This window comes from Homo sapiens, chromosome 9 (genome assembly GCF_000001405.40).
Source record: "Homo sapiens chromosome 9, GRCh38.p14 Primary Assembly".
Lineage (NCBI taxonomy): Eukaryota > Metazoa > Chordata > Mammalia > Primates > Hominidae > Homo > Homo sapiens.
The window spans coordinates 16,493,567-16,519,696 of NC_000009.12; the positions used below are offsets into that span (position 1 = coordinate 16,493,567).

Sequence of the window (26,130 nt, forward strand, 5' to 3'; positions counted from 1 at the left end):
TCCAGTTAATAAACATTTAAGACATGCCTATACTGTGCTATGTGCAGACTGAGACTACAAATCCAAATAAGACCCTCAAGGAGCTTATGTGGTTTAATGGAAGAGCTAGGCAAAAGGATAAAAGTAAGGCATTCAGGTTGCTCCCATGCTGGGAAAGGGTACTCTACTTGCACAGCAGGGGGCTAAGGCAGTCCTTCTAGCAGAGGTGACTTCTGAGCCATGCCTGAAGAGCCAAACAGGTGAAGATGAACCATCTAAATAGATGCAGCAGTAAGTAGAAAGGCACAGAGAGTGGAGGAAAGCATGGCGTGTTTAGAGAGAGCAGAAAGATGGAAAAGATGTGGGCATGTAGGACATGAAGAAGTCTGATGACACACGAGGGTAGAGAGGCAGGCAGGGGCCAAGTTCATTCAGTCCTCCACTCAACTAATAGGTCTTGACCATATGCTGCATGTTTGGTTTTGTCCTAGGCACTGGAGATACAACACTGAATAAAACAGACAAACCCCTACCCTGGTGGAGCTTAAATCCTGGTGGAAGAGAAACAGACACACTAAATAAAATACGAAATATATTAGAAAATAATTTTCTTTTTCTTTTTTTTGGAGACGGAGTCTTGCTCTGTCACCAGGCTGGAGTGCAGTGACACAATCTCGGCTCACTGCAAACTACACCTCCCAGATTCAAGCGATTCTCCTGTCTCAGCCTCCTGAGTAGCTAGGATTACAGGCCTGTGCCACCATGCCCAGCTAATTTTTATATTTTTAGTAGAGATGGGGTTTCACCATGTTGGCCGGGGTGGTCTCGATCTCTTGAACTCATGATCCACCTGCCTTGGCCTCCCAAAGTGCTGAGATTACAGGCATGAGCCACCGAGCCCAGCCAGAAAATAATTTTTAAGGAAGAAAAGACAAAGTGGAGAAAGAGGACCTGAAATGGTGTGGGTGAGGAAAGGCTGAAAATTCAGATACAGCAGTCAGGGCAAGAGTCATTGAGATGAGTTCTGAGTCAAGGTCTGAGATGTGAAGGCAAAATTTTTCAGGGAAAAGGAACAGCGAAGAAGCCAGTGTGACCAAAGTTGAACAAGTGAAGGAGGGAGAGAGGAGATGCAGTCAGAGATGAAGGGAAAAGGAGACACGTCATGTAGGCCTGGCACGTCCTGTAGGGTTTTGATCAAGATTTGGCAGGCCGTGTAGAAGAGTTTGGATTTTCATGAGAACACATGGACACAGGGAGGGGAACATCACACAGCAGGGCCTGTTGTGGGGTGGAGGGCTGGGGGAGGGATAGCATTAGGAGAAATACCTAATGTAAATGATGAGTTGATGGGTGCAGCAAACTAACGTGGCACATGTATACCTATGTAACAAACTTGCACATTGTGCACGTGTACCCTAGAACTTAAAGTATAATAAAATAAAATAAAAGAGTTTGGATGTTCTTTCAACCCAGGAGAAAGTCAATGACGTATCATTAGCAAGTGTGACTTTCCATGAGTTGGAGTAAAGAACAGGTTGGCGGAGAGAAGATCAGTTAAGAGGTTCTGCAGAGATCCAAGTGGATAGGGGATTATTACAGCCTGAATAAGGTGGTGATAAATCATCAGCCTCTATCTAAATTATTAGCAGATCCTAAAAAAGGACAGTCGTAGTTTAACCTCATTGGCTTTCTTGGCCTAACATGAGAGAGGGTAGCAGGAGGAAAAAAATCAACAGCAAATATTCCCAGATATTATTTAAATTCGACATAAAATGAAACACTTTTCTGTTCCATATAGTGAGATCATGCCATGAACTCTGAGGATTTGGGGCTCAAAGGCCAAAAGACCACTGTGGACTTAAGCAGATCACATACTCAAAAGCACCAGCATTGTGACGTGAATGTCAATCTGAAAAATAACATGGTTCCTGGGTTGCCTGTAAACAGTGCTTGCGTTCTGGCTAGAGATTTGGGTCCGGTCCTTCTGGGGACAGGGTGCTCAACATATGCACTGCCCAAAGTGCCACCAAAGTGGCAAGTGGTGCTGAATGTAGTTCAGGCCTGGCTCACCACGGCCAAGCCATGTGCTCTGGTTTGGGCTTTATCCGCTCAGAAAGAACACCTTTTCTAATTTCATAAAGGCTCAACATGAGCTTGCTAGGGCCCAGTGGCTGGGGCTTAGAAATCTGCACTTGATTTCATGGCTCTCTGAAGGTTAACGAAGACTCAGACATCAGTTTGACTCAAATCTGTAAAACTGATCCTAACGTAGGAAATGGCTGAGACTCTTAGGAGTGTTACACTACCCTGGACTAGGCAGGCTCCTACTACAAAATGTTTTGTTTTCTTTTTTCTTTTTCTTTTTCTTTTTTTTTTTTTTAAGATGGAGTTTCACTCTTGTTGCCCAGGCTGAAATGCAATGGTGTGATCTTGGCTTACTACAATCTCCACCTCCTGGGTTCAAGTGATTCTCCTGCCTCAGCCTCTCAAGTAGCTGGGATTACAGGTGCCCACCACCATGCCCGGCTAATCTTTGTATTTTTAGTAGAGACAGGGTTTCGCCATGTTGGACAGGCTGGTCTCTAACTCCTGACCTCAGGTGATCCGCCCGCCTCAGCCTCCCAAAGTGCTGGGATTACAAGCGTGAGCCACTGCACCCAGCCCTTTAGAATGTTTCATTAAAAACAAAAAAACAAAACAAAACAAAACAAAAACACCATAATGATACCAGAACCCATATCTAATGTGGTTCTGTGCTTCTTTTACTAAGATAAAGAATTCGGAGTCTACATTTTCTCCCTAGTCATGATTCTGTTTAGGACACACACAAAGAATATAGTTTATTTCTTTAGAACTAGGATTGGACTATTAAAAATAGCACCATTATTGTGACAATGACAAATATTCAGAAGAGCCCTAAGTTGTGCTTAAGCACAATTACCTTAATGTCAGTTGATATTTTATGATACAACTGTGAGGCACTTTATTTTTAAGGCAGTTTAACCTGATTCCTTCATGCCTAAGAACAGACATCTAAGGTTTAAATCTAGGATTCTTAATAAGATGATTAAGCAATGCTCTGCAGTTTCTTTAAATATTTAATATAATTTTCATCACATAAATATTTACAGTTTATATTTTTTCTTGTGTTTATCAGGAGCAGGGGATCCATATCTTTTTTAAAGATGGGGAGGGGATGATCTCAACAATCAAAATATTCTACCAAGCTCTTTAGAAGCCCAGGCTATGGTGAGAAAACCTTATTCAAATATGTCTATTCAAGCCGATGCTGTATTTACCAGACACCCAGTTGCTGTTTATAGGGCTAGGATCTGGAAGGTGTTTGCTTCTAAAGGATCTTCTTACCTCACAACTTTGGTTCCATCATCACATCAGCAGCCTCTCCGCAGTACTACTACCATCATCAACATGGCATTAGATATGCACGATGCTCTTTTTCTGAAGATAGCAGAGTAATTCCACACACATTAGGTTGTGATCCATATGTTCTGCAGAGTCAGGCATTGCCTGGCAGGAAGGGGAAGGGCTCAGAGAGTCTGTTCACCCTTGTGGTCACTATTGTGCATGGCCACTCTGGTAGCCTTTTTGGAGCTCTAATATCAGAAAGGGGTTTCCTAGTCATCTCAAAGTGTGGAACAGGGAAGTTCCCTAAATACCCAGTTTATGATGTAGGCCTAATTTCTAGATATTGCAGAAAACAGTATTCAGTATCTCATTTATCCTAAAAACATTTCTGTGAAGTAGATGTAGGTAGTTATTATTCTGTCCATATTAGATGATGAAAGTATAGCACTGAAAGTTTTAATAATGTTAATCCAAGTTGGTTTTATCAGCAAAAGCAGAGACCATGCCCTTTGACATATGTCTGAATATTACATATTCTCTAATTCATGAATTCATTCTCAAATTCCTATTTATTGCTTATTATATGCCACACATTATACCGGAAACCAAGTACCCTAAATAACAAAACAGAAATGATCTCTGCTCTCATGGACCTAAAAGTTTGGTGGGGGAGATGGGTATAAATAAACAAATAGGTAAACAAATATAGGACTACAAGGTATAAAAATCGCTCTAAAGAAAATACGTAGTGGCTAAGAAAAAAGGGTAAAAGTCATTTAGATTGGGTGGCATTTAAGTTGAAAGTAAAGTCGGAATTAACCAAGTAAAAAGGTTGGGCTAAAAACATCCACCAACATAAAGGACATACTATATACCCTGGAAAGAACAATTATACAGAAAAACGCAGGTTAGCCAGTCATATCTGTGAACAGATAAAGAGACTTTAAGAAATTCTCTGTTTTCCAAGATACTTGTACATGCATGTTTACAGCAGCACAATTCACAACTGCAAAATCGTGGAACCAACCCAAATGCCCACCGATCAATGAGTGGATAAAGAAACTGTGGTGTGTGTGTGTGTGTGTGTGTGTGTGTGTGTGTGTGTGTATGTATTCCACCATATATATATTCCATCATATATATTCCATCATATATATATATTCTATCATATATATATTCCATCATATATATATTCTATCATATGTATATATTCTATCATATATATATTCTATCATATATATTCCATCATATATATATTCTATCATATATATATTCCATCATATATATATTCCATCATATATATATTCCATCATATATATATATTCCATCATATATATATATATTCCATCATATATATATTCCATCATATATATATATATTCCATCATATATATATATGAATATATGATGGAACACTACGCAGCCATAAAAAGGAATGAATTAACAGCATTTGCAGTGACCTAGATGAGATTGGAGACTACTATCCAAAGTGAAGTAACTTAGGAATGGAAAACCAAACACCGTATGTACTCACTGATATGTGGGAGCTAAGCTATGAGGACGCAAACACCTAACAATGATACAACGGACTTTGGGGACTTAGGGGGAAGAGTGGGAGGGGGGTGAGGGATAAAAGACTACAAATATGGTACAGTGTATACGGCTGATGGGTGCACCAAAATCTCATAAATCACCACTAAAGAACTTACTCATGTAACCAAATACCACCTGTACCCCAATAACTTATAGAAAAATAAAAAATAAATAAAATCTATAATCAAGAAAAAAAAAAGACCCCCAAAAAATTATATGTTTTCTTCTGTCTCCTACCTTAATTTATGATGCCTCATATTGGGAAACAGACCTTTACCGACAATGAAGAAGCCTGGATTCCAGGTCCAGCTCTACCACTGATTCTAAATCCTATTGTCCAATTCTCAGTGGCCCGCAGAGGAGGTGCGTGTCCCTGCCAGGGGTTGTCACCATCTTCTCTGGGCTACTGGATATCAAATAGTAGAATAATGTGAATACAAACAACAGAAACTCTACAAATACTAGACAGATTGAACATATTTAATAACCGTTTTATTAGTTAACACAATTACTATACCTGCCATAAGAAAAGCACAGGTATGTTCAGCACTTACAACAAACCACAATGTAATCAAATTCCCATTTTAAAATATGGACGCTAATGATTATAGTTAAAATACACTGCACTCTTACTATTTGTTGGGCATCATGCCAAGGACTTTCTTATATAAATAAGAATTAAATCTCACTTAATTCTTAGTAAATCTTCCAAGGTGGGTATTACTATTCTCATTTAACAAATGAGAAAACTGAGGCTCAGTCAGTTAAGTTACTTTTTTGAGGTCAATGTGGAGGTTACTGCTTACTTAGGCAGTCTGATTCCAGAGCCTATGTTTAGAAATTAGTTTGTATTAATCTACTGTTAATTAATTAAATATTAATTATATTACTAGAAAATGACCTGGCATTTTAATTATACCACACTAAATCACACCAATTCTTCCTCTGGTGTATCTCAAGCCCATCCCTTATCTTTCCATTTGCACTGCCATCAAATATAGCTCCTCCCTAAATATCTTTTTTTTTCTTTTTTTTTTTTTTTTTGAGACAGAGTCTCACTCTGTTGTCCAAGCTGGAGTGCAATGGCACAATCTCAGCTCACTGTAACTTCTGCCTCCTGGGTTCAAGCAATTCTCGTGCCTCAGCTTCCCAAGTAGCTGGGACTACAGGCGCCTGCCACCCTGTCTGGCTAACTTTTTGAATTTTTAGTAGAGATGGGGTTTCACCATATTGGCCAGGAGGGTCTTGAACTCCTGACCTCAAGTGATAAGCCTGCCTCAGCCTCCCAAAGTGCTGGGATTACAGGCATGAGCTACTGCACCTGGCCCTCCCTAAATATCTTAAATAGCCTTCTAATTGGTTCTCCTGGCTAAGAAAATATGATCAATCTTCATTCTAACTACTCAATTTACTACTATCATACTAAGGCTCTTGGAACTCAGCTTTCTGGATTTCATTCTTCCACTTTAAACCTTCAGTAATCCCAGACTATGAAATGGGGCCCCATTTCATAGCTGGGAATTCACAAACTCCCAGATTCTTAGCCTAGTGGCCTGCTACTCCCAACTCCTCCTCAATTCCTGCAGCCCAGCCCACTGGCTGAAACATGTCTCTAGCCACATGCATGCTGACTCTACCCTGGTTTCCACTACATTCCCTCTCTCCTCTACCCCTTTTCAAGACTATTCTCCTCACCATTCAGAATCCTACCCATCCACCAAACTCAACTCAAGTCTGATGTGTCTCATTAAGCCTGCTCCAGTTTTTAGTAACCTTGCCTGTCCCCAAACCCTGGGCATTTAATGAACATCCAATTCATTTGACTTCTTGCCAACTCCTGCATTCTTATTTAATGTTTACCCTTTTAATTTTCTAAATGTATAGCACTTGTCTCGGGAACCATATGAAAGCTGATAGCAAGAACAAACAATTTTTTTCTTTGATTTTCTAAGGGTTCCAAACCCAAAACACATAAATAAAAAAAATCTAGAATGAACAAAACATTTCACTCACTTGAAGTATATATATAGCTCATATATGACTAAACAATTACAGAGTCTACTTTGTCCTTGCCCATACAGTCATAAATGCAAGTCTGAGTTATGCTAACCAATCTTCTATATGCGCTTGCAAATTTTGGCCAAAGAATTTAGTTTTTCAGGGTGGATGGAGCAGGAGGCATGAGGGAGGGAAAATAATGATCATCCCTTAATCATTTTAAAATACAGATGTGAAAAAAGCATTTCTAGTGGCAAAATAGGACACACCCATCACTCTGTTTTAAGAGTACACTACTACTATCTGTTGGTGCTTTATACCTAAATAAAGTCCTTTTGCAGGAATGAGACAGGTGGTTATTGGGTTGTCTAATGTCTCACAACTAGTAACTAACCATCAGTATTTGAACCAATCTGTATAAGACAGTGGTGTGTCTTCTAGTATCCTGGTATAAATCATACTAAGACAGTGGTTAACAGCATGGACTCCAGAGCTAGACTGTGTGAGTTCAAATCCCAGCTCTGCCACTTATAACTATATGATATTGAACAAGTTACCTAAGTGATCTGCGTCTTAGTTTTCCTCTTTGTAAAATAAAGTTAGTAATCATACTTACTACAGAGTTGGTGTGGTAACAAAATGAGCAAATATAAGTAACGCACTTAAAATTATATATGTGCTCTCTAATGCTATTATGATTGTACAATAACAGAAATGTAATTAGCCTTTCAAACATTCTTCTGAAGGGAGTCTTTATTATTCATACGAATGAGTAATGCTTAACATTTTCACCAAAAATCTTGAGGAACAAGGGAAGTAACTTATCTCATGAGTCAGCAATGAAAACCATTCCTCAACACACCTCTTGACTGATGATAATAATGATACCAATGCTTTTTATATAACCTTCTCAAAGTTTACAACTTTTCAACACTTTTCATACATTTTACCATCACAACCACTCAGTGAGATGGATGGATAGATGGCTGGGTGTCCAAATGGAAGATGAAAGATATATAAAACCTTAGAGTCAGATGACTTCATTAGGGTTGAGTAGCTCTTGCAGAGCCTAATACATGCTTTTAGAACTAAACTCCAGTCTCCCACAGTCTGCATAACATAGAGTATTTCTCTACAGTTCACTTATCCTGAGATACATAGAAAATCTAAGAAGCATAAATAAGGGCCCTAAAAACTCTCTGTCCACAATTGGTTTGATGGAAACGCTGATCCCATTAGGGGCTGGATGAATGGCTAAGTGGGTTTTAAAAAAGCGAATGTAACCAACACTCAAAGGAAGGTCAGGAAGCTAAGGTCTATGTTACCCTGACCTCTGGTAAGGTAGGTAAGACACCCACAGAAAACTACAGCCTCTACTCCATTGGTTGAATTGCTAAAGAACAGAGAATAAGTGACTAAGCCTGGGGAATACCAAGACACTTTGCCATTTTCTTGCATATTTAAAATGCATTTCTAATTTGTAAGGGCTTTTTTGACTGCTAGTCCCAAGAAAAAGGTCTCCTCAGATAAATGAGTTTAGGAAATGTAACATATCCTTTTTTTGGTTGGCATGGAAGGAGTGGGGGTCTAGTGGTTTATGCCTGTAATCCTAGATCTTTGGGAAGTCGAGATGGGAGGATAACTTGAGGGTAGGAGTTTGAGACTAGCCTGGGCAACATGGTGAGATCCCACCTGTACAAAAAATAAGAAAAATTAGCCAGACGTGATGGCACACATCTGTAGTGCTAGCTACTTGGAAGGATCACTTGAATTCAGTTCAAGGTCACAGCGAGCTATGGTCACGCCACTGCATTCTAGCCTGGGCGACAGAGCAAGACTCTGTCTCTAACAACAAAAAGAAGTTTCTAAAAAGTTTTGAATATAGGATTGGGTTAATTTTTTTTTTTAACACAGGCTTTCCCAAACTTATCAGATCTTTGTAACTTTTAAAGCACAACAGTTACTAACATTCCATAGAATAAATGGTTTTGGGATACCCTTGGGGACACTAGTTTAGACACATTTCCACACTGTTTTGTTTTGTCTTTTTTCCCCCCCTCTTACTTCTTCTTGGGGTGAATGGCTTACTTGAAGAATATCATTCTGCACTTAGCTTTCTGTCTGCTCAGATTTAGAGTCAAGGTCTTCCACAGGTCTGAGGAAGCCACAGAATCATGTAGGAAAGCTATACAAAGTCATAGCCAGAATTGCAGGAAAATCATACTTTACATAAAAATATAAAGATGTTCCATTTCAAAAGATTGTATCAACAGTAAGATTTATTCTGCTGAAAAGAAAGTCTGTGAATTGGTATACAGGCTTTTACTTGATGAAGAGATGGGGTTAATCCCACAGAGGGCAAAACAAAGGCATAAATATCAGAAGGTGGTTTCATGTGGCCTCATGAAGTACCTAAAGGAAGAGCTACAACAAGCGTATTCTAATCTACCCTAGATTTATGGGATTGTAACTCAATCAATGAAAGCGTACCAAGACTTTCCAAAAGCACATGGAAGTTAAATGAATTCATGACAGTTAAATGAATTGTCTCTTGCCCTGAGATAAATTTTCACATGAAGAAGAGAAATTGCGCACAGTTTGCTACAGAGAGTATTTGAAAGAAAAACAGAAAAGAATATAAGAGGAAAAACATTTTTAAAGTGTAATATATATGGTTTACCACCCTCCTCCAGCCCCCTCCCACAATTTTGTCCCAAAACGTTACAACAAACATCATTTCTAAGGAACTCTGGGTATAGCCAAGAACGAGGATATTTTGAGGGTCAAAAAACAAAGCAGAATATCATTCTTCCTGGGCCAAGCTCCAAACACTATACCACGGATGTGCAGAAGGAGACAAATTAACAATCCTGTGCCTACTCTAATTCATGCCCTCACAATCCATCTAACTTTTTTTTTACTCATTTTTGTTTCCCTAAGAATTTTTTTTTCTAAATCAAAAATACAAAATACATGGGCCCAAAGGCAGTGAGGAAAGGGGAGAGGACATTCATGTTTCAGTCAACATCAGGAAATACAGTCACTCGTTGAGAACTAGGTCTCTAATCATATGGTGATAGGACAAATTCAAGAAATAGGAAAATGGGGTCAAGCAGTCTCTCAAAAAAATCTGATTAATGATAATCTGGAAGAGTGGACCTAAATAAGGCATATCTCAACTTTTTACTATCACTGATATCCACAGACATGACAATGTTTACTCAAGTTTTTCTTTGTCACCAGAATGTTATAAATATATATGGATATACAAACTACAAATCAATAACACCTTTATAAATACCTTAAGGACCATTATTTAGCAATTATGTGGGCCTCTTCATGTGCCAACACAATACACTTTTCAACATGCCAATAAACCCATTAAACATATTTATGGTGATAGTTATTAAGTTCAAGAGGTTTTATCCAGGAATTATAGTTCAGTAAGAAAAATAACCTTGTAGTGAATCAGAAAACATACTTATTCTAGTCAAGAAATGAATATACTCTGATCTTATAAACATACCCAGCACCTACAGGCAAGTCGGAATCCATATGGCAAATTTAAGCAAAAACACATCACCTGCACCTACTAGATGTCATCTTAGCAACAGCACCCATTTATCTAAGTCATAGTTTCCTCATCTGCGAAATAAGGATTATTTTCCTACACTGTATGTGAAAATGCTTATAAAGATAAGTAATCATGTTCCAAAAAAAGTAGTTAGTCATACCATTTACTGAGAATCAAACTTCTTAAAGTTTGGAATAATACATGTATTCCAGAATGAATACATGTATTAATACATGTATTCCAGAATGAATACATGTATTAATACATGTATTCCAGAATCCAAGTCCACATATTCTGAAATAATTGTCTTCCTCTCTCACAATTATATCTATTCCAAATGATACAAGATGCTTCATGAACCTCTGTGACATACTGACTCCCAAAATAGACTGGTTAATAACTTTGCTTTTTCCCTGAATTCAGATTAAAATGTAAACTCTTAAATAAAGTAGACCCTGAAAGCTGCAAGAAAGATACAGACCCTCCAAATACTGGAGATCAGTCAAGATTTGATAAATTCCATTATCTCTAGATCTTCTGTAAAAAACTAGAAATAAATAAATAAAAATTTCAATACTAAAAATGTGTTCTCATCCTGCGCTAACAAATTAGAACTGTGGAACCAGCCAGGCACAGTAGGACATGCCTATAGTCCCAGCTACTGAGGAAGCTGAGGCGGCAGGATCACTTGAGGCCAGCTGTTCGAGGTTGCAGTGTGCCATGACCGCACCTGTGAACAGCCACTCCACTCCAGCATGGGCAACACAGCAAGACCTCATCTCTTAAAAAACAAAAAACCCCACAAAACTGTGGGACCATGTAATGGTTACAAGAAGCTCAAATTCTAGGTAACATTATTTTAAACAGTGTCATCTTTGGAATTTCTTTATCATGTAGTAGGTAAAAGAGAAGACTATGAAGTCAACTGTCCAGGTTTGAAACACAACTATCTGCCACTCACAACGTAAGTTGAGGCAATACTGCTAACTTTTCTGAGCCTTGTTTCCCTCATCTGTAAAATGGAAAGAACAGAACCTATCTTCTGGGAAGATAAATGAGATAAAATGTATAAATGAGATAAAATGTATAAAAGAGATGCAGCACAGAACTCAGAAATAATTATAACTGTCAAGTCAGTGCTATCCTGCCTGAGTAGCAAATCACATCCCACACCATGCCACTGCAATTTTCCAGTAACAGTCACCACTGCTTGGGGCCCAGTACTGACATTTTTTGCTCTAATCTTTGTTTATAGAAGGAGTAAATAATCGAAACAAAGAACATTCCAGTATGCAGTGCTGATGGTTACACGATAAGGCAGGGCCAGGCACCAACACTAAGACTGGCTATCTATGAAGGTGAAAACACATAACTTTGATAATGAAGCTGTCTCCTGATTTATAGAAGCTAGGCTGTCTTAACTCTTGGGATTCAGAGCCAACCAAGGTCTGGAGAAAACTCTGCCTGGAGGGAGAGAGCCAAATATGCAGCCAGGATTTAAAGAGAGAAGATTTTAAGCTTGAAACACTAAAGCTGTTCTAAAAGAAAATAGTGCTTTAAGTTTACAGAGAAAACTTTTTAAAAGAGAATCAGAAAGATTCTGAGTCCTTATCAGTAACAGTTAAAGACAAAAAAAAATCATATATAGTTCCCTCTCCTAAATTCATCCATTAATCACAGTGCTAAGAACTTCAATCAGGTGATTTGAATTTCATGTTAGCATTCGTAATAATATTAACACCCCAAGCAGAACAAGTCAGTTTCTGAAGCTGTAAGGCCAGAGTCTCATTTTAGCACATTTGTAGGACAGTCACAGGTACACAAAGTCGCATTAACCACATTTACAATCTCTTTCAAAAATTCTGGAGTACAGCAACCAGAAACACTTCCTCAAATAAAAAGCATAATTGTAGCTTTCTGGAAGCTCTTTTCACTTTTAGTCCAAAGACTTAGTAAGAAGTGGACTCTGAAAAGCCAGTTGACGAAACTGGCACAGACACTGGGCCATGAAAGCTTTTAAAAATCTATCGCAAACTTTTCCCATTAAAACTTGGATGGAAATTGTAGAAAAGTTTTTACCTTTTTAATGGTCAAGTGTAGGTTAAAAAAAATACTGAGTTCCACAAACTTTTTACAGGCATAACAAGTTTTTAGAAAAGTCACAAAAATACTTATGTGAGAGTAGACGAAGGCCACCCACTCGGCTCTGGATGAGACCTCAAAAGACCTTCAGGAAGACAACCATTATTTGTCAAGGAAAGTCCTGGATATAACTAGCTTCTTTCCTGTGACTCTTCTTAATCCCACGCTTAAGTGAAATTATCTGCTGTTTCCTAAATAGGTCTCATGATTTTCTGACCCTGTGTCATCTGGCAAGTTGAAATTTTATCTACCCTTACTGGATCAGATAAAGTACACTTCTCTCTCTCTCTCTCCTCTTTTTTTTTTTTTTTTTTTTTTTTTTTTTTTGACGGAATCTCACCTTGTCGCCCAGGCTTGGAATGCAATGGTGCAATCTCAGCTCACTGCAACCTCCACCTCCTTGCTTCAAACGATTCTCCTGCCTCAGCCTCCCGAGTAGCTGGGATTACAGTCACCCGCCACCACACCCAGCTAATTTTTGTATTTTTAGTTGAGACGGGGTTTCACCATGTTGGCCAGGCTGTTTGTTTGGTTTTTTTTGTTTGTTTGTTTGTTTGGAGTTTTGCTCTTGTCACCCAGGCTGGAGTGCAGTGGTGCAATCTGGGCTCACTGCCTCCTCTGCCTCCTGGGTTCAAGTGATGCTCCTGCCTCAGCCTCCCGAGTAGCTAGGATTACAGGCACATGCCACCACACTCGGCTAATTTTTGTATTTTTAGTAAGAGACAAGGTTTCACACCACATTGACCAGGCTGGTCTTGAACTCCTGACCTCAGTGATCTGCCCACCTCAGCCTCCCAAAGGGCTGGGATTACAGGCATGAGCCACCAAGCCCAGCCTACACTTCTCTATAAGGCCCGCCTGACCTTCTGGAATAAAAGGAACCTTTCCTACTTTCAAAAACTTCTACAGCACTTTATATCTAGACATCTCATATTGTACATAGTATTTTCTACCAAACAGTGCAGTTATTAATAGAGAAATCTCATCTTTCTCCCTTGTCTACAAGCCTTTTGAGGGCAGTGTGTCCATTTGCTTTTTTTTTTTTTTTTTTTTTTTTTGAGACGGAGTCTCGTTCTGTCGCCCATACCGGAGTGTGGAGTGCAGTGGCTTGATCTTGGCTCAGCCTACGCCTCCTGGGTTCAAACGATTCTCCTGCCTCAGCCTCCCAAGTAGCTGAGGCTACAGGCGCATGCCCCCACACCTAGCTCATTTTTTTCCTTTGGTTTTTTGAGACGAAGTCTCACTCTGTTGCCCAAGCTGGAGTGCAGTGACACAATTTCAGCTTACTGCAACCTCCACCTCCCGGGTTCAAGCGATTCTCCTGCCTCAGCCTCCTGAGTAGCTGGGACTACAGGCACGCACCACCATGCCTGGCTAATTTTTGTATTTTTAGTAGAGACAGGGTTTCATTATGTTGGCCAGGTTGGTCTTGAACTCCTGACCTTGTGATCCGCCTGCCTTGGCTTCCCAAAGTGCTGGGATTACAGGTGCGAGCCACCGCGCCTGGCCTATTTCCTTCTTCTACGCTTCCATTCAACAACTTGCTCATATAGTAGGTCCATAATAAACACTTAGTAATAAATAAATGAACCTTAATTACACATAGCACTAGTACAAACCCAAATATAATTGAGAATATTCTCCCACTTGCTTAAAGCGGCCAAACTATTGAGAACATTCCAAAATAGAGTTAAATGGAACAGTACATAACAATCGTTCATTATTATAATACTTCACTACCAATGAGAATGCAAATTACAGAAAATTTTAGTCATTGAGTATTGATGACCTATCAAGCATTTTACTAGGCACAGAGTATAAGAAGATAAGCAAGAAATACTTTCTCTGCCACAAGGAATTTGAAGTCTAGTGAGAGAGATAAAACAGGTAACAACAGCATATAAAGTTTAAGTACTGCAACAAAGGTCCGCATTGCTTCTTTGTCCATAATTCAACACACTAACAAATTTTAAGATTCTGCTATAAACCCTAAAAGGAGACTTACTTATTCTGCTCCATAGGTCCTCAGGACTTCTGGTCAAAGACATCTTGGACTTGATCATCGCGGACATTTCCAACACATCAGTCAACTCTTAAACAGGTTTTGGTATGTAGAATTCTTGCCACATACTTGGGTAGACTGTATCACCAACATCTTGCAATTAATAATACAAAGCAACAAAAGAGACACAGTCCTTCGATCTCTCACTATTAATGCTCAGTAAAAAAACATCATAATTCTTGTTGATTCTCTCCCTACAAGACGTTCAAGCCACTATCCATTCTGTTGTATTTCTGGCATGTACATGTTGGCTTGAATATCTGAAGAAAATTCTTCTAATTTCTTCACACCTGAATTTATTATGGCCAGAATTCTTTGGTCATGAAATTTTCATCCTATTGTTCCACGCAGGTCAAAATTCTTATTGGTTCTTGGCTCTTTATGCCCAGAGGCCCAAATCCAAATTTTCATACACTATGCTAGCCCCCACAAAGTTAATTTTTCAACTATCTGCTTTTCTTCTATCCAGGATATTCTGCCTTCTGCCCACAAATCAGTCTACTTCTCTACTCTTTCCCTCCTCTGTGTATGTTTTGCACATCTTTTTTTTTTTTTCTTTTTAGGACATTGTCTTGCTCTGTCACCGAGGCTGGGGTGCAGTGGCACAATTAGCTCATTGTAACCTCGAACTTCTGAGCCCAAGCAATCCTCCTGCCTCAGCCTCCCAAGTAGCTGGGACTACAAGTACATGCTATCACACCTGGCTGTTTTTTTAATTATTATTATTTTTAGTAAAGACAGAGTCTTACTATGTTGCCCAGGCTGGTCTTGAACTCCTGGCCTCAAACTCCTTCCCTCAGCCTCCCAAAGCATTGAGATTACAACCGTAAGCCACCATGTTCAGCCAATGTTTTGCACATCTTAAACTCACCCCAAATGTCCACTTCATCTTCAGCAACTTTGATATCTAGGCACAAGTCTCACCTTCTCCAGGAAGCTGTCAAAGAAAGCCACCTGGCTCTGGTATCTTCTCTTACAGATCACCTCAACACTTAAATCCTCAAATTCTAACATATACATTTCTACTTATTGGCATATAAATGTTGGTAAATGTACTACAATCATTTCATGCAAGGCAGCTGTTGTCTACAGTCCTCGAGGACAGGAAACACATAAATGTCTCTAACTGTTGGGAGTAAGGACCTTGCACACATAAGTTACTCAGCCAATTTCACTAGTAACATTGGTATCAGACATACTGGGAATCCATACCACGTCACAAGGTTTTCTAAAACAGTATTAAGAAACAACCGACTCCTCTGTGCATATCCATCCCAGTTACAGAAAACCAGGATAGCAAAAGGAACAGTTTAAACTGAGAGTAAGTCAAAGTTACTAACCTGGGTAAAAGTAATTCTGAAGGCTTCAAAGATCTATTCAGTTCCATACCAAAGTATAAGGTTCCAAAACCTGTCAAATTTCTATTCAGGAAAGCAGGAAAATTGTTATCTGGCCAAAGAAAGCAGTATTACTTGCTATTTTAAAAAGAATCTCCAAAGCTCCAAGTTATAAAGTCATTTAACTACTAAAGAAGAAATATGTAGAGGTTGTTTGTACATTTCTAAGAAACAGAGGTCACCTGGATGAACTTTCAACTGTAATGGTTAGCTGACATGGTTCTCTGTCCAGATTTTGGGTTCTAAAATTAAGGTGACTTTGAGTGCAAGTATTTTTGAAGATTCTAGGCTGTTTCCAGGTCTTACACTGGTTAGACCATTTTTTCTTCTGGTGTCTAGCAAATGGCTAAAAGACCTGTTTGTATCTCAGATGTTGGAGAAACCGTTCAGGAACAATTCATCTCTGCAAGGCTATGAGTCATAACACATTGCCACGGTCAGGGAGACCTCTGTTAATCAAGGAAGCGCTAGCCACACATTCACTCAAGCTGTCTTAGAGAAGCTGGCCTCAGTGCCCACTGTTCTTTTTCCACAGATCATCAGTCATCTCTACAAAAGAGAAAATGTCCAACTTCCTCACTGGGTGGACAGCCTCCTGCTAGGCCTGCATCCTGGTTTCCTTTCTGCTGAGTTGCTGATTTTCCTAGAGGTGCACAATAGCTACCAAAAGGAAAGTCTCCTACTTCGTCATGAAAAGAAAGCAAGGAGATCCACTTAACGCCCCTCTGTAATAAAATTAGGATATAAAAAGGCAGGAAACACAGAGGTATCTGACCTCCTTTCACGTACTCTTTCTTCTTTCGCTTACCCTTACATTTGGTGTATAATCTACAAAGTCAGGGAAATTCACCAAGTCCCGACATAGCTACATGCTGTATATATTTGCACCAGCTCTTCAAATACAAGACCTAAAACTTGGTTAATTTCTTTTTCCTAGGTCAGAAATCAACAGATAAGCCTTTACAGATTTTTGAATCATTTCCTCTTCCTCAAACTATGGCACATGACAGGATAGGGAAGGTGTAGAGGAAATTCCAGGGGAATAAATTGACCTACAAATGTTATCAAATTTTATCACTGAGTGATGGATGAAATTCTCAGGTGATTCACTGCCAGGGTGGTATTTGGTGCTAAAGTGAGGGAACTGAAAATTTAACTGAGCTAGCTGGCTTCACTTTGTCTTTAATCTGAGTAATGATTGCGAGATTTTACATGGGCAAAATATTACATTTCCTTCCAGATGACCTCAATATGCAATTCTCATTGAAATACTTTTTCAGACCTACACATATACCTGAAGGCTGTCAGGAAACACACATTTGTTCCACAAAAGGCAGAGAGAAGGATAGGCAAAACTTGGAATAGCCACTTAGCTTTTGTTTAATATGAAATCTTTCTCAGAAAAGCTAATGGAGATCACTAAACTTACTTTTTTTTTTTTTTTTTTTTTAAGAAACAGGTCTTGTTCTGTCACCCAGGCTGGAGTGCAGTGGTGCGATCATACCTCACTACAGCCTCAAACTCCTGGGCTCACAGGATCCTTCCACCTCAGCCTCCTGAGTAGGTGAGACTACAGGCACCTGACACCATGTCTGGCTGGTTTTTAAATTTTTTTGTAAAGAAAGGGTCTTGCTATGTTACCCAGGCTGGTCTTGAACTTCTGGACTCAAGGGATTGTCCCACCTCGTTTTCCCAAAGCACTGGGATCACAGCCATGAGCCACCATGCCTGGCAATAAATTTACTTTTTTTTTTTTTTTTTTTTTTTTTGAGGCAGGGTCTTGCTTTGTCACCCAGGCTGGACTGCAGTGGCTCAAACATAGCTCACTGCAGTCTCAACCTCCCAGGCTCAAGTGATCCTCCTACCTCATTCTCCCAAGTAGCTGGGACTATAGGTGTAAGCCACCATGCCTGGCTAATTTTTGTATTTTTTTGTAGAGACGGGGTTTCGCTGTGTTGCCCAGGCAGGTCTTGAACTTCTGAGCTCAAGGAATCCATGGGCCTCAGCCCCCCAAAGTGCTGAGATTACAGGCGTGAGACACACTGCACCTGGCTAATAAATATACTCTTAACCTAACTCCAGGGGCAGAAGAATAAAGACCTTTTGCCGATAAAGTAAGCAAAGGTATTTTTTCATGTATCATAGAAGTAATACTATTTCACCAAAACAAGCACAAGGCCATCACACTAAAGGATTTGTGTACTTGTGTGTCTGTGCCAGCCAATAATACATTAAAACATTCATTTAAAATTCCATCAAAAGTGCTCTCCGTAAAAATCTCATTATGATACTTATAATACTAATGCAAATATATACAACAGAATCAAAAATTTATGTGAAACCTACTTTTATTTGTTTGAATCAAGCGATTAATCTATTGATCTATTTTACCTATTAATCTATTGTATACACATGTGAATACACACAAACATAATTTGAAGAAAGCTTCACACGCATTACCCTCCTCAATATTAATATTTTTTCTTTCCTTGAAGTGATGAGGAAATGAAATCCTTAAAAGGGTGTTTGATCATCAAATTACTGATGAAATTATTCTATTCTGTCAAATAGAAGGACTGAGTACTTTTAAAAATCATGCTATTTCAACATGTGGTAAATAAAATTCTGAGCAATTTAAAAAGTTATTGTTACTGAGGACACTAAAATATCATGAGTCATAATAATCCTCAAGCCAATAACTCACAATCAAACTGATGAGAGCTTGTTTCTGCCTCCGTGGCATAACCTGTAAAATGGGATAATGCTGACACACAGCAGTCCTAAAGACCAATAAAGGTAACACACGCGCACACACACACACACACACACAAATAGAACCTGAGCACAATGTAATTAAATAAACAACCAACTGAACTAACTTGTTGCATGATGACAAAGGCACATCTAATAAAACTACTTTGTTGTTTTACTTTATACATTTATTTGCGAGGTTAGTATGTGGACAAACACATCTTTTATGTACACTATAAAACTTTGATGTTTTAAGGGGTTTCTATAAAAAACTAGTAAGAATCTTTTTGATATAAAAGTATCATTTTTCATCAAATAAAACAATCATCTCAACCATCAATTAGTTGTTTTACTGGAGAAGGGTAGCACTGGCATAAAGCATAACTTTCTTCATACAAAATAAACTTTTAAAAAATAATGAGATATGGCTGGGCGTGGTGGCTCATGCCTGAAATCCAAACACTTTGGGAGGCTGAGGGGGGAAGATCACTTGAGGCCAGGATTTCGAGACCAGCCTGGCCAACATGGTGAAACCCGTCTCCACTAAAAATAGAAAAATTAGCTGGGTATTTTGGCGCATGTTTGTAATCCCAGCTACTTGGGAGGCTGAGACATGAGAATCGCTTGAACCTGCAGAGGTTGCAGGGAGCTGAGATCACACCAGTGCACTCCAGCCTGGGTGACAGAATGAGACTCTGTCTCAAATGAAATAAAAAAGAAAAGAAAAGAAAAACATAATAATGAAATAAAGTGTTCATGCAAATGAAAGGTATAGAATGTTATTTATTACTATTTTCCCCTCAAAATGTGAAAACTTTATTAAAGTAAATAGCTTTTATGAAGACACGGGTCTAAGACATGAGAAAAGGTTCTTTTTTTTTTTTTTTTTTTTTTTTTGAGACAGAGTCTCGCTCTGTTGCCCAGGCTGGAGTGCAGTGGCACGATCTCGGCTCACTGCAAGCTCTGCCTCCTGGGTTCACACCATTCTCCTGCCTCAGCCTCCCGAGTAGCTGGGGCTACAGGTGCCTGCCACCATGCCCCGCTAATTTTTTGTATTTTTAGTGGAGACGGGTTTCACCATATTAGCCAGGATGGTCTCGATTTCCTGACCTCGTGATCCTCCCGCCTCGGCCTCCCAAGTGCTGGGATCACAGGCATGAGCCACCGCGCCAGGCCGAAAAGGTTCTTAATAAATAAGAAATTTCTCTAGTACAACGAAACACAGAGGGGTACAGGACCAGGAAGAAAACTAGACTCTTCTTTGAAAGATGCTAGTTTCATTCAGAGTTGTACATGAGTCCATAGTCGGGAAGGACCGTAGGTTGAAGACTGACACACAACTCAGAAGAGAGAAGGGCAGTCATGGGCCTGGGGATTAGAGCTACAGGTGAAATACTATGAATGATGAACTAGGGAGTTTCTTAATGGAACTTCCTATGGATTAGCAAATTCATGGGGTTCAAAACATTAGGCTGTTATTCCACCCTACGCTCGTGTTTATGCCCTATGAGATTAAATGTTAGCTTCCGTGAAGGCCCAAAACTAATTTCTTTTCAAAAATATTAGCAAGAATATTATTAGCCAGATAAGCAGGAATCACCTATACGTGTGGCTATCTCCTGCAACTTTCTTCTCTGAGATGGCAGGATGTCACAGTTTTCCAGTGGAAATCTGAACCACCAAAGTCCTTTCTACACCCTGGTCCAACCCTTCAGTGAAGCACCACCAGCCAGCAAGGCAGGTTCACCTGATTACTCAAGATTCGTCTGGTTTCAAGGGATGAAATACTTCTATTGTCTCCAGACCATGCAGCCTGAGAGTTACTAGGTTTCAAACCAAATTTTCATGTTCCTTCTGTGCAAAGAATAAATGTACTCTCTACCATTCAAAGAGGATAGCTGCCAACACACCCCTGACTGGTCTGAGTGGCTGAAATTCCACTGGGAGGACAACAAAAGGAAGTGGGGCTTCAGTATGCAGAGCAGGGAGATCAGAATGATGAGCAAAAGCCAGAATCTTTTGTTATGTGTTTTTCACCCAATGCTGACATCTAATTGTTTAGATTTTTTTTTAAAAAGGGGGGAAAAATACTGGTAATAAAGGAGAGGTTCTGAAAAAGCAGCTCTGTACTAGCAATCTGTTATCTGTATCATAAACTTTCTTTCCTCTCTTATTTATCTTTCAGATGTTTACAGTTGACATGCAAATTTCAGTTGTCCTCCCACCAACAGGTGAGCACATTTGTTTCTTTTTTGAATTGTAATAATAACATTTTTCTTCTAAGGAGTCTTAATTTCTATAGTCACCAGGAACTGTTGTTAGCAAGGGATCCACGTCTCGATGATGACAGAATTGAAAAACAAACAAACAAACAAAAAAACACTTTCACATGGAGAGAGAAATAAGTAGTTGTCAACAAAACCATTTCTTTCTTCATTGCTAATGGCAATCACTGGATAAGCAGATCATCTTGATTTTAAAAATTCCAATTATTGAACTCCAAACCACCACATTGATTACTGATTCCAGATATATATTCTGGTTTCTGGAACCAGCAAAACTGTCTGGCAGTTACACTGACCCAGAAGGGAACAGACGGGAGGAAAGAGAACTCCCTTTAATGCACAGCTATCAGTACTGTTGGCTATTTACATAATTCTTGCATCAATAGGACCACTGAACAAGTGTTAATATTGCAAGTGGAAGCAACATCCAGAGGGAATTCAACATCATTAGCTGCATGGAGCAGAGCATGGAGATCCGAGAGGGAATCATGTCAGCTCCAAGAAGCCAATAGTCTGTGGCTGTCAGTGTCTGAAATGGAGCCGCTTCAAAGCCGACTGGGCTGTGACCTGAACACTGCATCCCTGCGCCCGGTGAGAAGAGGATCAATGACTGTGTTTGCTGGGCTCCAGTCATCCCCTTGGCTAATGAAAGCTGTGCTGAAAGGAATGCTACGGGGCCTCTGGGCAGCCTGCAGCCTGGCATTAGCGGAGCTTGGCTGGTGAATGCACCCGGCACCAAAGCCTCCCTCACCCTCACCCGCCCTCTTCCCTGTTCTATCCCACCAACTCCCCTCTGGCTGTCTGTTTAGTGTCACTCAGTTGGGATGGATCCCGTTAAAGATCTGACGCTTAGTGAGGACTCGGAGGTGTCTGGAACGTCTGTCTCTAATCATAAACACCACAGCTGGCAATGATGTGGTCGAAAAAAAATCACCTTGATCCAGTACACATTCTCTTTGATGTCTCTGCAGTGAGTTCACTGCCCAGAGAAAAAGGTACAATTTGAAAAAAAAAAAAAATTTAAAAAAAACCTCTGAAAAAAAAAATCAAGCTTGACATTCTCAAATCATAACCATATGACTTTCAATTCCATGCTAAAAAAAAGATATATATATATATACATCTCATTGCATTATGTTCTAAGAAATTCAGAAAAGAGGCATCTGACAATTGTAACATGAAACAGGTTTGGAAGATAATGGCAGTTTGAGAGGAAAACACTTCCAAAAGGGAAAAAAAAAAAAGTCAGACTGCCACTACCATAAAAGGAAGAAGTCTTCTGCCAAAGATTGCAAACTGCAGTGACCTTAAGTAAGAGACTGTAGCTGATTCAAGGGAAAATGAAAACTTTTCAAAGACAACACTGCTTGAGCTGAGCCACTGTTTCTAAGTGCCTTATGCCCTCTTGCCTTTCGGGTGGCCTGGTAAACACACAGCCTAACTGTGCTTCCAGCCCCAGGCCGCAGGGTTCTAATGAATATTCAGCCACATTAACATGCATTTTCTTTGTGTTGTTCTTGGTTTGTTTGTTTTTTTTCAGTCCTACCAAGATGGGGCTGGTGTAGATAACGTTCTTGTGATGCCGCCTCAGGTATCAGAACTCTGAGAAGCGTTTGCAAGTTAAATGCTAAGATTCCCCAATGATTATGCGGAAACTTAAAAAAAAAAAAACTAACCACACTAACCTAAAGAAGCGAGTTTACAGTGGATAACAGTTATGCAGCTGTCAAGATAACTCATGAGACCTTCTATACCAACTGAGATAAATATCACTTATGTATCATCAATGTCCAAATTACATACATAGGTACCCAGAAACCCCCCCAATACAGGGTGAGAACTCAAAGAGTCTTTATTTCTATCCCAAAGCGGGTTCTTTCTAGTACACACAGTCTAAATATACAAACAAGCACACAAAACAAACTCAGTTAAATGTGTGCTTCTTTTTTTTTCTTTTTTCATCTTAAAATCCAAAGTCATTTGAAAAATCTCTTAAGACTAATAGGAGACTAATTATTAATTTATAGTTTTATCTTAATAAAAAAGTGAATAAAAAGGTGTTTTAATCCAGATAGTTTTAAAATTTGTCGTATTAAAAGCATCTCTTATGCTTATTCCAAATGTAGTAAAATAATCAGGTGATTCTAACTCTAAATGAGGTAAACGTTAATTAGATGTTTCTGGTTTCTTTGATTGTGAGCAAAATAGCAAAAGGCTTTAAACTGGTCAGTTGCACTGTGACACAACCAATGTTTAAGAAATCACTCTGTAAACGGCATCCAGGAATGCAGCACCAACACTTGCAGTAACAATATCCAGACGAAGCCAAAAAGTTTGGATACTGCTGTGTTGTTCTAAACTGACTGAGGTTTTGAGGACTAACAACATTCCCCCATAATGATGGTGGTGTCTTTAGATTGAGATAAGATTCAAATTTATTGAGGGTTATTTACTGTTGTGTATAAGGTTCTGTGTGTTGAGGAGGGAAGTAGCCAGTTGGAGGAGGGCAACTTGGCTGGGCTCACAGCTGAGAAACCTCAGGAGCTTGCATATCCCTATAAGGTAATTTCTTTCCTTTTTTAACATAGGCAAGGTAATTAAATGTTAGTCAATCTTAACAGACTGAAAGGCAAGGATATGCTACTATATACTGAAATACTGGCATTCACTGCAATATTTGCCTTACAGTATTAAGGCTTTAGTGGTATCTCATTAAATAAATAAAGCTCTACAAAATGTTTTAGCCCAATTCTGATCATGAGTATGTGTTTTAAACAGTATTGCTTGCCAGAAAGAAGGGGCAGTGGGAGGGTAATTCCTATATGCTGTAATTTACCTGACAAATTAATTGCAAACACACACACACGTACACAAGTGCACACAAACTTAAGTAAATGTACAAACCTGACCTGGTGTCCTATGATGCAAAGCATTACATTTACAAGAGCATAAAGTTCATTAGTTTACTTCCTTCCTCCAAAGCTTAAAGGAGACAAAAAAATCATATCATTCATTTCATTTTTGAAAGGAAATATGCCTGGGGTGTTTATATAAACACAGTAAATTGTAGGTTCCATGTAACCATATACATTTTTATTTCTAAAGCAGGGTGGACAAGTCATAGGGTCCTGAGTTTTCTAAGATGATTAATATACTAGATAATTGCAGAATTCTCAGCCATACTTCAGATGTGTAAACCAATCCGAAATGGTACTTGGCACAAATATCTCATGCCAGGGTTTCTACCAAATCCCTTAAAACTTACTGGTCTCGAAGGAACACAGACTGGTTATTGGGCCTACCAGTTGCATCTTGAGAGTGAAATCTGGAAAGAAGGGACAATAGATGTGTGTATTCATTTTCTATTATATATACTTCGGTGTAGCTTGAATTATTTATAAAAATATAATAATGAAAATTAAATTTAAAAATATGGCTGAACGTGGTTGCTCATGCATGTAATCCTAGTACTTTGGGAGGCCAAGGCGGGAGGATCACTTAGCCCAGGAGTTCAAGACCAGCCTGGGCAACATAGGGAGACCCTGTCTCTATTAAACATAAAAAATACAAAATTAGCTGGGCATGGCGGTGTGCACCTGTGGTCCCAGCTACTCAGTAGGCTGAGGTGGGAGGATTGCAAAAACCCAGGAGGTCAAGGCTGTACTGAGTACTCCACTGCACTCCAGCCAGTGTAATAGGGCGAAACCATATCTTTAAAAATAATAATAATAAAATAAAAATAGAAAACATGCCTTTTAGGTATAAAGGGCAAATGCCCCCACCTTACTATTATTAATCATATTCTACTAAAGTCTCTGTTACATGAGATTTGGGATGTACAGGTGCAAAAGTCATATATATATATATTTTTTGTTGTTGTTGTTGTTGTTTGTTTGTTTTTTGTTTTTTGTTTTGTTTTTGAGACAGAGTCTTGCTGGAGTGCAGTAGCACCGTCTTGGCTCACTGCAACCTCTGTCTCCCGGGTTCACGTGATTCTCCTGCCTCAGCCTCCTGAGTAGCTGGGACTACAGGTGCCCACCACCATGCCTGGCTAATGTTTGTATTTTTGGTAGGGACAGGGTTTCATCATGTTGGTCAGGCTGGTCCCGATCTCCTGACCTCAGGCAATCCACCTGCCTCGGCCTCCCCAAGTGCAGGGATTACAGGCGTGAGCCACTGAGCCCGGCCCTAAAGTCATATTTTAATAAAACCAGAAAACAAATGTCTTTATCATATAGTTTGGTGAGTCAAACAAACAAACAAAAAGCAAGTGTGTTATCAGCATGTCTCTATGCTGAGAAGAGAAGGTGTGCTTGCCAGAATTGTCAGATTAATTTTTAGAAAGAGACAGAGGTAAGCACTGTGCTTCGTTTTCTTTTAAACAGGGATGAATGCCTCCTTTACTGGCCCTACCTTCTCAGCTGTCATTAAAATATAACCCAGTAGTGTCTAGGGACTGTGTCTCTGGGAGGTGTGACCTTCATTTGCATGATAAATCCCAGTGCATTCCATTAGCAATAGAGGGGAGGGATAGGTATGAGGGGGTGATTCTTACAGAAGAAATTTTGTCTAGAGCTGGAAAGAGGAGTAGCCCTAGTTGAATGGATCAAGGGCCAGAGACAAGGATTCTGAAAATTCTAACGTAAAGTCCCAAAAGATAGGAATTGGAGCTTTTATCTCAAATCAACCTTAGCAGATTTAGGAGATAACCTCTTCGGATGTAGAGATGTGTTCCTTTGGACAGGTAGAGACAACCCTCACTTCTGGGAGAGTTTCTCATTTTGTAGTGGCGAATGAGCCCTAGTGGCAGTGGGTGGACTTCAAAGGCAGCACACTAGTTAGACCTGGGGCTGCTGCTGATCAAGTGAAACATGAGGTTAGACGGAAAGGCTGTCCAAGGCTGCCATGCTGTTAGCAGACAATGACAACAAAAATAGCTGCTACTTGTGGAGTTCTCATTAGGTACTAAGCACTTAACTACCAT

At 39.5% G+C, this 26,130-nt stretch overlaps 1 protein-coding gene across 40 annotated transcripts in view, besides 4 other annotated features; it reads right to left on the reverse strand.

Annotated features, from left to right (window-relative positions):
- Window positions 1-26,130, reverse strand: part of BNC2 (basonuclin zinc finger protein 2) — a 461,168-nt gene that overhangs the window by 84,064 nt on the left and 350,974 nt on the right. The gene's annotated exons all lie outside the window — the stretch shown is intronic.
- Window positions 20,524-21,106: an enhancer, noted in NCBI's record as "OCT4-NANOG hESC enhancer chr9:16514088-16514670 (GRCh37/hg19 assembly coordinates)". NCBI's record gives its function as "activates a minimal SCP1, AML or CMV promoter by ChIP-STARR-seq in naive and primed H9 embryonic stem cells {active_cell/tissue: H9 hESC(naive and primed)}" and the evidence as "EXISTENCE:reporter gene assay evidence [ECO:0000049][PMID:30033119]".
- Window positions 21,202-21,770: an enhancer, noted in NCBI's record as "H3K27ac-H3K4me1 hESC enhancer chr9:16514766-16515334 (GRCh37/hg19 assembly coordinates)". NCBI's record gives its function as "activates a minimal SCP1, AML or CMV promoter by ChIP-STARR-seq in primed H9 embryonic stem cells {active_cell/tissue: H9 hESC(primed)}" and the evidence as "EXISTENCE:reporter gene assay evidence [ECO:0000049][PMID:30033119]".
- Window positions 21,771-22,337: an enhancer, noted in NCBI's record as "H3K27ac-H3K4me1 hESC enhancer chr9:16515335-16515901 (GRCh37/hg19 assembly coordinates)". NCBI's record gives its function as "activates a minimal SCP1, AML or CMV promoter by ChIP-STARR-seq in primed H9 embryonic stem cells {active_cell/tissue: H9 hESC(primed)}" and the evidence as "EXISTENCE:reporter gene assay evidence [ECO:0000049][PMID:30033119]".
- Window positions 22,352-22,912: an enhancer, noted in NCBI's record as "OCT4-NANOG hESC enhancer chr9:16515916-16516476 (GRCh37/hg19 assembly coordinates)". NCBI's record gives its function as "activates a minimal SCP1, AML or CMV promoter by ChIP-STARR-seq in naive H9 embryonic stem cells {active_cell/tissue: H9 hESC(naive)}" and the evidence as "EXISTENCE:reporter gene assay evidence [ECO:0000049][PMID:30033119]".